This window comes from Homo sapiens, chromosome 5 (assembly GCF_000001405.40).
Source record: "Homo sapiens chromosome 5, GRCh38.p14 Primary Assembly".
In the NCBI taxonomy this organism is placed as follows: domain Eukaryota; kingdom Metazoa; phylum Chordata; class Mammalia; order Primates; family Hominidae; genus Homo; species Homo sapiens.
In genome coordinates this window covers 76783864-76798171 of record NC_000005.10, presented here as the reverse complement: position 1 = coordinate 76798171, position 14308 = coordinate 76783864, and the positions used below count along the sequence as shown (strand labels likewise).

Genomic DNA, 14308 nt, shown 5'->3' with positions numbered 1-14308 from the left:
AAAATACAAAAAATTAGCCGGGCGTGGTGGCGGGCGCCTGTAGTCCCAGCTACTCTGGAGGCTGAGGCAGGAGAATGGCGTGAACCTGGGAGGCGGAGCTTGCAGTGAGCCGAGATCACGCCGCTGCACTCCAGCCTGGGGGACAGAGCCAGACTCCATCTCAAAAAAAAAAAAAAAAAGAATGAACAGGGAGGAATTGAGTTGAACCAACTATATTAGTTAATCCATAATTTCTGAGACTGTATCTTTATTTTTATTTATTTACTTTTAAATTCTTTTTTGAGACAGAGTCTCGCTCTTTTCTGGAGTGCAATGGTGTGATCTCGGCTCACTGCAACCTCCACCTCCCGGGTTCAAGCGATTCTCTTGCCTCAGTCTCATGAGTAGCTGGGATTACAGGAGCCTGCCACCATGCCTGGCTAATTTTTTTGTGTTTTTAGTAGAGACAGGGTTTTACCATGTTGGCCAGGCTGGTCTCGAACTGCTGACCTCAGGTGATCTGCCTGCCTCGGCCTCCCAAAGTGCTGGGATTACAGGCGTGAGCCACTGTGCCTGGCCATGAGACTGTATCTTATTTTGCTATTTGGCAGATGTTTTTCTCAGAAGAAGATTAGAGAAGAGGACCAGCCATTTCATATATGATTCCATATATGTAAGTCATCATGTCTGATGGGGGATTTTACTGGGCGTGGGAGTGTATAGAAACCCTTTGTCCCAAGGCTGCCATCCTTTTTCATAATCAGCTGGAATGATTAATTGAAAACAGCGCTACATAGAACATATGTCTACGTAAAACCCTGGCTCTGGTAGTCAATGCTGCCTCTGCTTTTCTCTAGCTGTACATTGGGTAAGTTATTTAACCTCTGTTTCCTTATTTGAGGGTAAAGATAATGATAACAGTCCTACCTCATAGGGCTATCATGAAAATTTAATAAGTGCCTAGCACACAGTTAAGGGCACAATATGCGGTTGCTTTTTTTTTTTTTTTGAGACGAAGTTTTGTTCACTCTTGTTGCCCAGGCTGGAGTGCAATGGTGCAATCTCGGCTCACTCCAACCTTCACCTCCAGGGTTCAAGTGATTCTCCTGCCTCAGCCTCCCGAGTAGCTGGGACTATAGGCGCCCGCCACCACTGCCAGCTAATTTTTGTATTTTTAGTAGAGACGGGGTTTCACCATGTTGGCTAGGCTGGTCTGGAACTTCTGACCTCAGATGATCCACCTGCCTCGGCCTCCCAAAGTGCTGGGATTACAGGTATGAGCCACCACGCCCGACCTGTGGTTGCTATTTTTATAATGACTTCTTTATACGTTTGCTGCAGCTCTGAGGCAGGTCTTTGAGTTGTACCACTAGTGGGTCGGTTTGGCTTTCTAGGCCAAAGAAGGAATTCTTTTGAGTGTCATATAGTTATGAAAGTACAGGCTGTGTGTGGTGGTTCACACCCATAGTCCCAGCACTTTGGGAGGCCAAGGCAGGAGGATTGCTTGAGCCGAGGAGCTCAAGACCAGCCTGGGCAAAATAGCAAGACCCCATATCTTAAAAAACAAAACAAAAGTACAGAAGCTTGCTCCTGCCTTGCCCAGAAGCCTCCTTTGACCTGAGAAAGTAACCAAGCATCTCCATCCACTACTCCACTGGGAGCAGCTGGGACACGAGAACATGCTTGCTGTTATTTTATTTGCATTTCTCCAATTAATCTGGCACCAGAATTGGAATTTTAGAGTTGCAAGAGATCTTGGAGCAGGGTCTCTGAGAGATGATAAAAGTACAGGTTTTAGAGTCAGACTGAAGCTAGGTTGAAAACCTGGCACTGAACTTTACCAGTGGGGTGACCTTGAGGCAAATGACTTAGACCTTCTAGCCTTTTACTTCCAAGTGGGCCAGGCCTCACCCCAGACCTCCTGAATCAGGATCTGAATTTTAACAAGATCCACCAGTGATGCATAGATACTTTAAAGTTTAAGAAGCTATCATCTAACCCTCAGTCTTCTTGTTGGTAAAATTGGGTGAGCAGTGGCCTAGCTTGGTGGCTCACGCCTGTAATCCCAGCACTTTGGGAGGCTGAGGTGGGCGGATCATGAGGTCAGGAGTTCAAGACCAGCCTGGCCAACATGGTGAAACTAAAAATATAAAAATACAAAAAGTACAAAAATTAGCCAGGCATGGTGGCAGTCGCCTATAATCCTAGCTACTCGGGAGTCTGAGGCAGGAGAATCACTTGAATCGGGGGGGCCCGGAGGTTGCAGTGAGCCGAGATCGCACCACTGCACTGCAGCCTGGGCAACAGAGCAAGACTCCATCTGAAAAAAAAAAAAAAAAGAAAAAGAAAAACCAGACAGGGTCTTGCTCTGTCACTCAGGCTGGAGTGCATGGGCATGATCATAGCTCACTGCAGTCTCAACCTCCTAGGCTCAAGTGATCCTCCCACCTCAGCCTCCCAAATAGCTGGTACTACAGGTGTATACCACCACACCTGGCTAATTAAAAAAATTTTTTTGCCGGGTGCCGTGGCTTACGCCTGTAATCCCAGCACTTTGGGAGGTTGAGATAGATCGCCTGAGGTCAGGAAGTGGAGACCAGCCTGACCAACATGGAGAAACTCTGTCTCTACTAGAAATACAAAAATTAGCCAGGCGTGGTGGAACATGCCTGTAATCCCAGCTACTCGGGAGGCTGAGGCAGGAGAATCACTTGAACCTGGGAGGCAGAGGTTGTGGTGAACCGAGATCGCGCCATTGCACTCCAGCCTGGGCAACAAGAGCAAAACTCCATCTAAAAAAAAAAAAAAAATTTTTTTTTTAGAGACAGGGTCTTGCTATGTTACTCAGGCTGGTCTCAAACTCCTGGGCTCAAGCAATCCTTCTGCCTCAGCCTCCAAAGGACTGGTGTTGGCCCGTGAAATGTGAGTAAAATTTACAGCATGCTAGTTTTAAGTGAAGACCTTAAAAGGCTTCCTGTTTTTCTGCTCACACCTTTGCATTCCTGTGGTCTTCCATGAGAAAAAATATCTCCCAGAAGCTACTGATCTGAGAAAAATGAGAAAACACGTGCAGCAGACCTAACCCAACTCATAGCCTGAACCCAGGCCCAGCCAAGCCCAGCGGGGCACTCAGAGACCCAGTGGAGCCATGGGCCCATGAAGGAGAAAATAAATGTTTGTTGTTGTAAACTGCCAAGATTTTGAATTTGGTTAGGCAGCACAAACTATTTCACTCTGAGTGATGAAATCATCCGAATCATCATCATCTCTGAATGATGAAATAGTTGATTTTTATTTCCTTCCCTATTATTTTCCGTATTTTCCAAGTATATTTGAATGAGTTTGTATTATTTTAAAGAAAAAAGATAAGCCGGGTGCTGTGGCTCATGGCTGTAATCCCAGCACTTTGGGAGGCTGAAGCCTGCGGATTGCTTGCGGTTGGGAGTTCAAGACCAGCCTGGCCAACATAGTGAAACCCTGTCTCTACTAAAAATACAAAAATTAGCCGGGCATGGTGGTGGGCACCTGTAATCCCAGCTACTTGGGAGGCTGAGGCAGGAGAATCATTTGAACCTGGGAAGTGGAGGTTTCAGTGAGCTGAGATCGCATCACTGCACTCCAACCTGGGCGACAGAGACTCCGTGGAAGGAAGGGAGGGAGGGAGGAAAGGAAGGAAGCAAGGAAGGGAGGGAGACAGGGAGGGAGGGATAAAGATAAATAAAAAAGAAGAAAGATACATAAAAAAGGAGGGCCTTCACTATTATGATACAAGATCAAACTCACCTGAACTTACAAAAAGAATGTAAGGCTGGGTGCCATTGCTCATGCCTATAATCCCAGCACTTTGGGAGGCCAAGGTAGGAGGATTGCTTGAGCCCAGGAGTTTGGGACCAGCCCAATCAACATAGTGAGACCCCCATCTCTACAAAAAATAGAAAAAATTAATCCCAGCTACTTGGCAGGCTGAGGTGGGAGGATCACTTGAACCCAGGAAGTTGAGGCTGCAGTGAGTCGTGGTTGTACCACTGCACTCCAGCCTGGCCAACAGAGTGAGACTCTGTCTCAAAAAAAAAAAAAAAAAAAGGAATTTATAAGATTGTTAAAACAACTTTGAATGGTGGCTCACACTTGTAATCCCAGCACTTTGGGAGGCCGAGGCAGGCAGATCACAAGGTCAGGAGATCAAGACCATCCTGGCTAACATGGTGAAAACCCATCTCTATTAAAAATACAAAAAATTAGCTGGGCATGGTGGCAAGCACCTGTAGTCCCAGCTACTTGGGAGGCTGAGAGAGGAGAATCGCTTGAATCCCGGAGGCGGAGGTTGCAGTGAGCCAAGATCGTGCCACTGCACTCCAGCCTGGGTGACAGAGTGAGACTCCGTCTCAAAAAAAATAAAAAATAAAAACAACTTTGAAAACACAAGTATGCTAATTTACATGTATTTTCTCTCATTTCCCTCTCTCTGCACAGTTAACAATGAAGTCAGCATTCACATTTCTATGGCTTTGAATATATGTCTAGTGTTTTGAAAGAGCAGCTATTTCTAAGATTGTGTTTTAGGATCTGATAATATTGTCAGAGGCAGTTAAACCAGAGCAACTCCATCTTGAATAGGGGCTGGGTAAAATGAGGCTGAAAACTGGGCTGCATTCCCAGATGGTTAAGGCATTCTAAGTCACAGGATGAGATATGAGGTCGGCACAAGATACAGGTCATAAAGACCTTGCTGATAAAACAGGTTGCAGTAAAGAAGCCGAAACCAGCCAGGCGCGGTGGCTCATGCCTGTAATCCCAGCACTTTGGGAGGCCAAGGAGAGCAGATTACCTGAGGCTGGGAGTTCGAGAGCAGCCTGGCCAACATGGAGAAACTCTGTCTCTACTAAAAATACAAAATTAGCCGGGCGTGGTGGCACATGCCTGTATTCCCAGCTACTCGGGAGGCTGAGGCAGGAGAATCGCTTGAACCTGGGAGGCGGAGGTTGTAGTGAGCCGGGATCACACCATTGCACTCCAGCCTGGGCAACAAGAGTGAAACAACATCTCAAAAAAAAAAAAAAAAAAAAAAAAAAGAAGCCAAAACCCACCAAAAATCAAGATGGCCACGAGAGTGACCTCTGGTCATCCTCACTGCTATGCTCCCACCAGTGCTGTGACAGCTTACAAATGCCATGCCAACATCAGGAAGTTACCCTACATGGTCTAAAAAGGAGAGGCATGAATAATCCACCCCTTGTTTAGCATATCATCAAGAAATAACCAGTCCAGTTACAGTGGCTCACACCTGTAATCTCAGCACTTTGGGAGGTCGAGACAGGCAGATCACCTGAGGTCGGGAGTTCAAGACCAGCCTGGCCAACATAGTGAAACCCCATCTCTACTAAAAAAAATACAAATATTAGCTGGGCATGGTGATGGGCGCTTGTAATCCCAGCTACTTGGGAGGCTGAGGCAGGAGAAATGCTTGAACTCGGGACGCGGAGGTTGCAGTGAGCCGAGACCGGGCCATTGCACTCTAGCCTGGGCAACAAGAGTGAAACTCCATCTTAAAAAAAAAAAAAAAAAAAAAGATAAGAAGAAAAAAAACATAAAAATTGGCAACCAGCAGCCCTCGGGGCTGCTCTGTCTATGGAGTAGCCATTCTTTTTTCCTTTACTTTCCTAATAAACTTGCTTTCACTTTACTCTATGGACTCAATCTGAATTCTTTCTTGCGCAAACTCCAAGAACCCCCTCTTGGGGTCTGGATCGGGACCCCTTTCCTGTAACAATATCACACAGAAAGGCAAGCTCAGGAGCCTGGAAGACTTTACTCAGATTGAAAGAATTAACACAGACTGAATTCTCTCTCAAGGGGTGATCCTCTAAGAATTCTTTCCTTTCCTATCATCTTTGGTCAGAATAATTTTTTGCTTAATTGATTTTTCTTATTCATTATGGAACATAGTGGGGTGAGAATAGAATCAAGGAAGCAGGAAGGGAACCATCCAAGGAAGAGATGAAGGAAGCAGACGGGGAAGGGAAGAAGACAGATGGGAATGAAGAAAATGGGCCGGAAAGAGGAAACTGATAAGGAGAAGTGGGGAAAAGAGGCAGTAGATAAACCAGGAGGGCTTGGGCCTTGGCCTAGAGAACTGGTGAAAGAGGCTTTTGTTGCTGTTGTGAAACGGGCCCCATTCAAGTCTTCCCTGCTCCCTGAAGCATCTCCAGCCCACTCTGGTGTTTACATCTTCTGAGTTCTGAATTCTGGTCCAGATCTCTTCCCTGAGCTCCACCCTCATCAATCTGATCTCCACCTTGGTGTCTAGTAGATATCTCCAATGCGTCTGACCTTCCCCAACCCTATGTAAGCTCTATGAGGCAGAGATTTGGTGTTGGTTTGTTCACTGCTGTATCCCAGAAGCATGCTTGGCACCAAGCAGACATTCAATAACTATTAGTTGAGTGGATGAATTAATAAACTCCTGTAGCAGCAACAGGCAAGAGTACACAATATGCTTTTACTGCATTGGAATGCTGATGTTTCCTGCTTGTTTAATTTTCCCAGCAGAACTGCAAAAACCCTTTAAGATCAGGGATGCTGTGCTTTTATATTCCTGTTGGCGTTTAGCACACAGCTGTGCCCATTGGTGATTTGTTGACTGATTAAACAGCAAGTCCCACCAACAGTACAAGCTCATGGCTAAAGCCACCTTTCTCAAAGAGTAGGAATCACATGCTAACTCAAGAAAAAAAATATGTTAATTCATATCCACAAACTTCTAAGCACTTCAGCTTGGGCCTTGTGTCATCTTAGTGGTATAATAGTTTTCCTATGTTTGATTCTTGTCCTCTTTAATAGAGTACGTCTCATTTACACATCTGGATTTTAAGCAGAGTTTTTGAGTCTTACTCTCCTCCTATCAGGCCTTCAGTGGCTCACCAGCACGATGTGAGCACACATGAGAAGCTCAGCCCACTCCTGCCTGTAGGCTTCTGACTTTGATTAAAGATAGAGGCCATGCAGTGCTGGAAGCCCCTTGCATACTATGATACAAATCCTTCAAATCCCTGCTAGGCTGAAAGATGGGGTTCTGATTTGCTGCTAGTGACATCACCCTTCTGGTAACCTTCCTCTCCAGATGTGCCTCTGCTCTGTTTATCTTAGAGCCTCATTTCACAGCAGCAAGAAGACACAACAGGAAGCCAATGTCTGAAGCTGTTCCCATCCATGCCAGTTTCTCATAGCCTGTCTTTGACACAAGAGCAGCTCAGAGTCAATTATGTTGGATTCATTCACTAGGAACTTTTTCCCACCAGAGTCCTTGTTGTGGGTGGAGCAGTCTTTTGTTCTAGCTGGTTTGCTGTCTCTGTGGAATTGCTATCAGAATGGCTGTTTGCTATTGGAATGACTAAGAGCTGCATCATTGCTACGTTAGGAAGCAATTATCTGAAAACAAATTCATTTTCTGAGTCATCTAGCCGATTTAGCCTGTGCCACTCTTTCCCCCTTCCACCCCCTAACATTTCACCAGTTAAACAACTAAAATGTCCTCCTATTCATACCTCCTGCTCTATTTGTCAGGAGATTATATATCTGGTTTAGATGGATCAACAGAGTTATTACTTTTCCCTGTGTTACTCAGTCTGTCCTATTCTAATCCTAGATTTATTTTCGAAAGACACATGGTTTTCTGGATTATTTTATCTGGCTTTCACTCCTTTGTGTGCTAGGTGACTAACATTGCACTCATGAGCTCAGCATCCTTGCTTCCTTCTTTCTGCCTTGTTTTAAAGGTATAATATTTTCACATCTTCTTCATATTGCGTATTTGTTTCCTGTGACTGCAGTAACAAATTACCATAAACTAGATAGTTTAAAACAACAGAAATATATTCTCTCACTGTTCTGGAAGCCAGAAGTCTGAAATCTGTATCACTGGTGGAAGCGAGCTGTCAGCAGGGCTGTGGGCCTTTGGAAGGCTCTAGGGAGAATCTGCTTCTTGTCCCTTCCGGCTCCTGGTGGCTGCTGGCTCTCCTTGACATGTGGCCGTATTATTCTAATTTCTGCCTTGGTGGCCACGTTGCCTCCTCTCTTGCTGTGCGTCTAATCTCCCTTTGCCTGGCTTGTGCAAGGACACTTGTGATGGTCCACCCAGATAATCCAGGATAATCTCCCCATGGCAAGATCCTTAAATTAGTCACATACACAAAGCCCGTTTTTCCTTATACAGCAACATTTACAAGTGCTAGGGATTAGGGACTGCTATCTCTGGATGACCATTATTCAGCCAACCACACTTTCAATTCCCTGCTCTCCACAATGCACAGAATATTTTGTATGTAGATTAAAAAGTTGGTGAGGAAGATAAGGGAAGAAAGAGCAAAAGAAAGGAAATAGAGGATAGTCAAAGAGGATTTTTTTGTAATCCTAGCGCTTTGGGAGGCCCAGGAGGGTGGATTTCCTGAGCTCAGGTGTCCGAGACCAACCTGGGCAACCCAGTGAAACCTCATCTCTACTAAAAGACAAAAAAATAGCCAGATGTGACGGCGTGCGCCTGTAGTCCCAGCTACTCGGGAAGCTGAGGCAGGAGAATTGCTTGAACCCAGGAGGCGGAGGTTGCAGTGAGCTGAGATTGTGCCACTGCACACTGTCAGGCTTCTGAGCCCAAGCCTGCAAGTATACATCCAGATGGCCTGAAGCAACTGAAGAATCACAAAAGAAGTGAAAATGGCCGGTTCCCGCCTTGACTGATGACATTACCTTGTGACATTCCTTTTCCTGGACAATAAGTCTCCAGAGCTCCCCACCGAGCACCTTGTGACCCCCGCCCCTGCCAGCAAGAGAACAACCCCCTTTGACTGTAATTTTCCACTACCTACTCAAATCCTATAAAACTGCCCCACTGCTAACTCCCTTTGCTGACTCTCTTTTCGGACTCAGCCCACCTGCACCCAGGTGATTAAAAAGCTTTATTGCTCACACAAAGCCTGTTTGGTGGTCTCTTCACATGGATGCACATGACACACACCAGCCTGGGTGACAGAACTAGACTCTGTCTAAAAAAAGGCCAAGCGCTGTGGCTCATGCCTGTAATCCCAGCACTTTGGGAGGCCGAGGCGGGTGGATCATGAGGTCAGGAGATCGAGACCATCCTGGCTAACACAGTGAAACACCATCTCTACTAAAAATACAAAAAAACTTAGCCGGGTGTGGTGGCGGGCGCCTGTAGTCCCAGCTACTCGGGAGGCTGAGGCAGGAGAATGGCACGAACCCCTGAGGCAGAGCTTGCAGTGAGCCGAGATTGCACCACTGCACTCCAGCCTGGGTGACAGAGAGAGACTCCTTCTCAAAAAAAAAAAAAAAAGAGTGGCCGAGATCGCACCCCTGCACTCCAGCCTGGGTGACAGAGAGAGACTCCTTCTCAAAAAAAAAAAAAAAAAGAGTGTTTTGTTTTTTTTTTGGCTGTGATTTCCTTTTGGCAATAGAGTGGCCCTCCTGGCATGGGCTCCTGCTTCCTGCTTCCTGCTTCCTGGGGAAATATGAGCTTGCAGGAGGTACCCTACTCTGGCAGCCGAAGGACGCACAGACATTCTTTTCCCCTTCTCCTTGGTAGTTGGGGCACTGGCATATGATACCGGCTACACCAATCAGACATTCCTACCCAGGATTTTTGACTTTTGAGGGCATTAGTACCTGCATGTCAGGAGAATGACAGATTGTTTCCAGGGTGGCAGGGTCAAGAGTCCAGGAGCAGCAAGGGCCCGTGTCTGGCGGCTGTGGCAGTGGCACTTGCCTCCTACTCTGACTGTTGCAGTGGCAAGACCTGTCCGAGTTCTTTCTCTGCTTTTTGGTCTCCCCAGGTTCCTGCTCACTCCCCTACCCTTGTTCTCCCACATATCTGCATATTCAGTGACCTGCTGAGTACCCAGCCAGGACATTCCAAATTATTTATTATTATTATTATTTTACGTATTTATTTATTTTGAGATGGAGTTTCGCTCTTGTTGCCCAGGCTGGAGTACAATGGTGCGATCTTGGCTCACTGCAACCTCCGCCTCCCAGGTTCAAATGATTCTTCTGCCTCAGCCTCCCGAGTAGCTGGGATTACAGGCATGTGCCACCAAGTTTGGCTAATTTTGTATTTTTGGTAGAGATGGGATTTCTCCATGTTGGTCAGGCTGGTCTTGAACTCCCGACCTCAGGTGATCTGCCCTCTAAGGCATCCCAAAGTGCTGTGATTACAGGCGTGAGCTACTGGGCCAGACCTATTATTATTATTTGGAGGCAGGGACTCACTCTGTTGCCCAGGCTGGAGTGCAGGGGCATGATCTCGGCTCACTGAAATCTCTGCCTCTTGGGCTCAAGTGATCCTCCCACCTCAGCCTCCCAAGTAGCTGAGACTATAGGCACACACCACTATGCCCCGCTAATTCTTATTTTTTTTGTAGAGATGAGGTTTTGTCATGTTGCCTAGGCTGGTCTTGAACTCCTCGGCTCAAGTCATCTGCCTGTCTCGACCTCCCAAAGTGCTGAGATTACAGGTGTGAGCCACTGCACCTGGCTTATCCCAAATTTTTAGTTTAGTAGGCAGTTAACTTGGCTGAACTCAAATTCTGAATTTTGCCTCCCCCGTGGTGAGTGAACAGCTGAAGCCTCTGTTATTTTAGCCTTATCTGAACTGCTTGGAGTCTACCCTGTGCATGCATAGTTGGAGATCTGCCAGATACTTGGGTAGCCTCCCCCTGCAGCTGGGAACCAGAGTTGTCAGGTGTGCTGTCCTGAGCCAATATATACACATATACAAATGAATTGGCTCATGTAGTTATGGAGGTTGAGAAATCCCAAGATCTGCAGTTGCCAAGCTGGAGACCCAGGGGAACAAATGATGTAAATTCCAGTCCAAGTCCAAGCCCAAAGGCAGAAGCCTAATGTTCCCAGCGCAAAAACAGTCAGCCAGAGAGAACAAATGTTGTTATATTCAGCCTTTTTGTTGTATTCAGGCCTTCAACGATTGAATGAGGCCCACAGACATGGGGGAGGGCAATTTGCTTAACTCAGTCAACCTATAGAAATGTTCATTTCATCCAGAAACACCCTCAGCGTTACACTCAGAATAATGTTTAACCAAATATCTGAGCATCCCGTGGTCCAGTCAAGTTGACACATAAAATGCACAGATAAAATCCAGACTTTTTTTTTTTCTTTTGAGACGGAGTCTCACTCTGTTGCCCAGGCTAGAGTGCAGTGGTGCGATCTTGGCTCACTGCAAGCTCTGCCTCCTGGGTTCATGCCATTCTCCTGCCTCAGCCTCCCAAGTAGCTGGGACTACAGGCACCAACCACCACGCCCGGCTAATTTTTTGTATTTTTAGTAGAGACGGGGTTTCATCGTGTTAGCCAGGATTGTCTCGATCTCCTGACCTCGTGATCCAACCGCCTCGGCCTCCCAAAGTGCTGGGATTACAGGCGTGAGCCACTGCACCCGGCCTTTTTTTTTTTTTTTTTTTTTTTTTTTTGAGATGAAGTTTCGCTCTTGTTGCCCAGGCTGGAGTGCAATGGCGCGATCTTGGCTCACTGCAACCTCCGCCTCCTAGGTTCAAGCGATTCTCCTGCCTCAGCCTCCCGAGTAGCTGGGATTACAGGCACCCGCCACCATGCCCGGCTAATTTTTGTATTTTTAGTAGAGACGGAGTTTCACCACGTTGGCCAGGCTGGTCTCGAACTCCTGACCTCAGGTGATCCGCCTGCTTCGGCCTCCCAAAGTGCTGGGATTATAGGCGTGAGCCACCACACCCGGCTAAAATCCAGACTTTTATGGCAGATGGAAAGGCAAGGGAAGCTGGTTAAAATGAAGATTCTTCGGATCCACCGGTCACCTGCTGAATCTTTGCCCCAAGAAATCTGTGTTTTTAACAAGTTTCTCAGGCCAGGTGCGATGGCTCATGCCTGTAATCCCAGCACTTTGGGAGGCTGAGGCAGGTGGATCACCTGAGGTCAGGAGTTCGAGACCAACCTAGTCAACATGACAAAACCGTGTCTTTACTAAAAATACAAAAACTAGCCAGGCTTGGTGGTGGGCACCTGTAATCCCAGCTACTCGGAAGGCTGAGGCAGGAGAATCGCTTGAACCCAGGAGGCAGAGGTTGCAGTGAGCTGAGACTGTGCCACTGCACTGCAGCCTGGCGACAGAGCGAGACTCTGTCTCAAAAAAAAAGGAGCGTCTCAAAGATTTCTGATTTACATTATAATAGAACTGCTGCTTGAGATTCTGGAAAGATTCATTAATTTCATAATATATGGACTTAACACTCAATCTGAAGGATGTTAGAATAACAAGAATAATCATGGGAAATGGTCGAGGTCTTTCTCCTGATGGTATACGGGCCATTTTCAAGTGGGATGGGAGTAGTTAATGTGTGATCTATGTGTTGATCTCATACAGGGCAGAAACCAATTTGAGCAAGTAATGCCCCAGGGCACACCCCCTTACTCACCCACACCTCAAAATAATTTTACCAACTGTTTGTTCAAAGTCCAAGTGACAAAGGGCAGTGCTGGTTGTCATTGTTCTTGGGTGAGTCATACTATACTGCTTTCTAATTCTTCTTCCTCCTCAAACCTGCTTTCTTCCCATCTTCTAGGGGTTGAGGATTGTTTTTTTTTTAATCACACTCCACAAATGTGAACCTTCTTCTTTTTTTTTTTTTTTTGAGACGGAGTCTTGCTCTGTCGCCCAGGTTGAAGTGCAGTGGCGTGATCTCTGCTCACTGCAAGCTCCGCTTCCCGGGTTCACGCCATTCTTCTGCCTCAGCCTCCCAAGTAGCTGGGACTACAGGCACCTGCCACCACGCCCGGCTAGTTTTTTGTATTTTTAGTAGAGATGGGGTTTCACCGTGTTAGCCAGAACGGTCTCGTTGTCCTGACCTCGTGATCCGCCCGCCTCGGCCTCCCAAAGTGCGGGGATTACAGGCTTGAGCCACCACACCTGGCTGAACCTCTTTTTTCTATCACACTACCAGGATCTCTCTTTCTCCTAACTGTGCATGTGTGTGTTTGCACACGTGTGTGTATGTGTGTTTCTAAATTTTGGACATTCTTTATGAAGTTCTATATGATGTAATTATTTTTTTGTGTGTATGCACATGAGGCTAGGTTTTAAAATACATACATTTATTTAATTTTTAAAATATATGTAAAATTATTGAAGTATCACATACCTACAAAAAGTGTACATGTCAGCCAGGTGCAGTGTCTCATGCCTTTAATCCCAGAACTTTGAAAGGCTGAAGCATGTGGATCACTTGAGGTCAGGAGTTCAAGACCAGCCTGGCCAACATGGCAAAACCCCGTCTCTACTAAAACTACAAAAATTTGCCAGGCATGGTGGTGCACGCCTGTAGTCCCAGCTACTCAAGAGTCTGAGGCACCAGAATCGCTTGAATCCGCAAAGCAGAGTTTGCGGTGAGCCAAGACTATGCCACTGCACTGCAGCCTGGATGATAGAGTGAGACTCTGTCTCAAGAAAAAAAAAAAGTGTACATATGATAAGTTTGCAGTTTCATGAATTTTTATAAAATTCATATCCATAGAACCAGAATTCAAATCAAGAATCAGAATGCTACCAGAATCCTGGAAGACTCCCTCGTGCTGTCTTCCAGTCACGAATTCCCACCAGGGTAATGTGAGCCAAAAATGAAATTATAAGCTCCTCCCCCAAATGACTAAACAGACCCCTTCCTCTCCACCAAGGGGATTTCAAACCCGGGTATGAGGGTCTCATATGCCTCATTATACTCTCCTCCCTTTGGAATTCAGGCACAGCTGACCAGCATTAACATTAAAACAGAGATCTTATGACTGACAAAGCAGATTCTTTGTAGCAATAAAATACCAAATTCCAACCTGATTCTAGTATAGCATCACACGACAGATAGCAGATCCTGAAAGGAATAAAAATCTTTTGCCCCAGAATATATTCCTTTGACATATTTTTATTTATTATTTTCCTTTTATGTCAGACAGGTAATGTGCCAACATCCTAACAAGGTTCGAGGGTGGCACATCTGACACACGCATGTGAACGCCCGATCATTATGCTCTTGAACTACAAAAGGATCGACTTTGACGTATTTTTAAATGGCTCTGCAAAACTGTATCTCGTGGGAGAAATTTACTTTCTATAGAGAATCCCCTTCCCTTTCCAAGTCTTTTTCCGATCCTGAAGAGACTGGCTGAGAGACCAGCACCTTTTAAAGTTCTAAATAGAAAACATTTGCCATCTCTTGCCTCTAAGGGTGGCCACCTAGGAGACTTTATCTACATAATAAGAACCTTGAAGTCTCCACAAG

At 46.1% G+C, this 14308-nt stretch overlaps 1 non-coding gene across 1 annotated transcript; it reads right to left on the bottom strand.

The window, feature by feature from the left end:
- Positions 1-13972: 13972 nt before the first annotated feature.
- On the bottom strand, positions 13973-14076 carry LOC124901199 (small nucleolar RNA U13). Its single transcript, XR_007059163.1, has one exon. It is a non-coding gene; the product is annotated as a small nucleolar RNA U13 (small nucleolar RNA).
- Between the last annotated feature and the right edge of the window lie 232 nt (positions 14077-14308).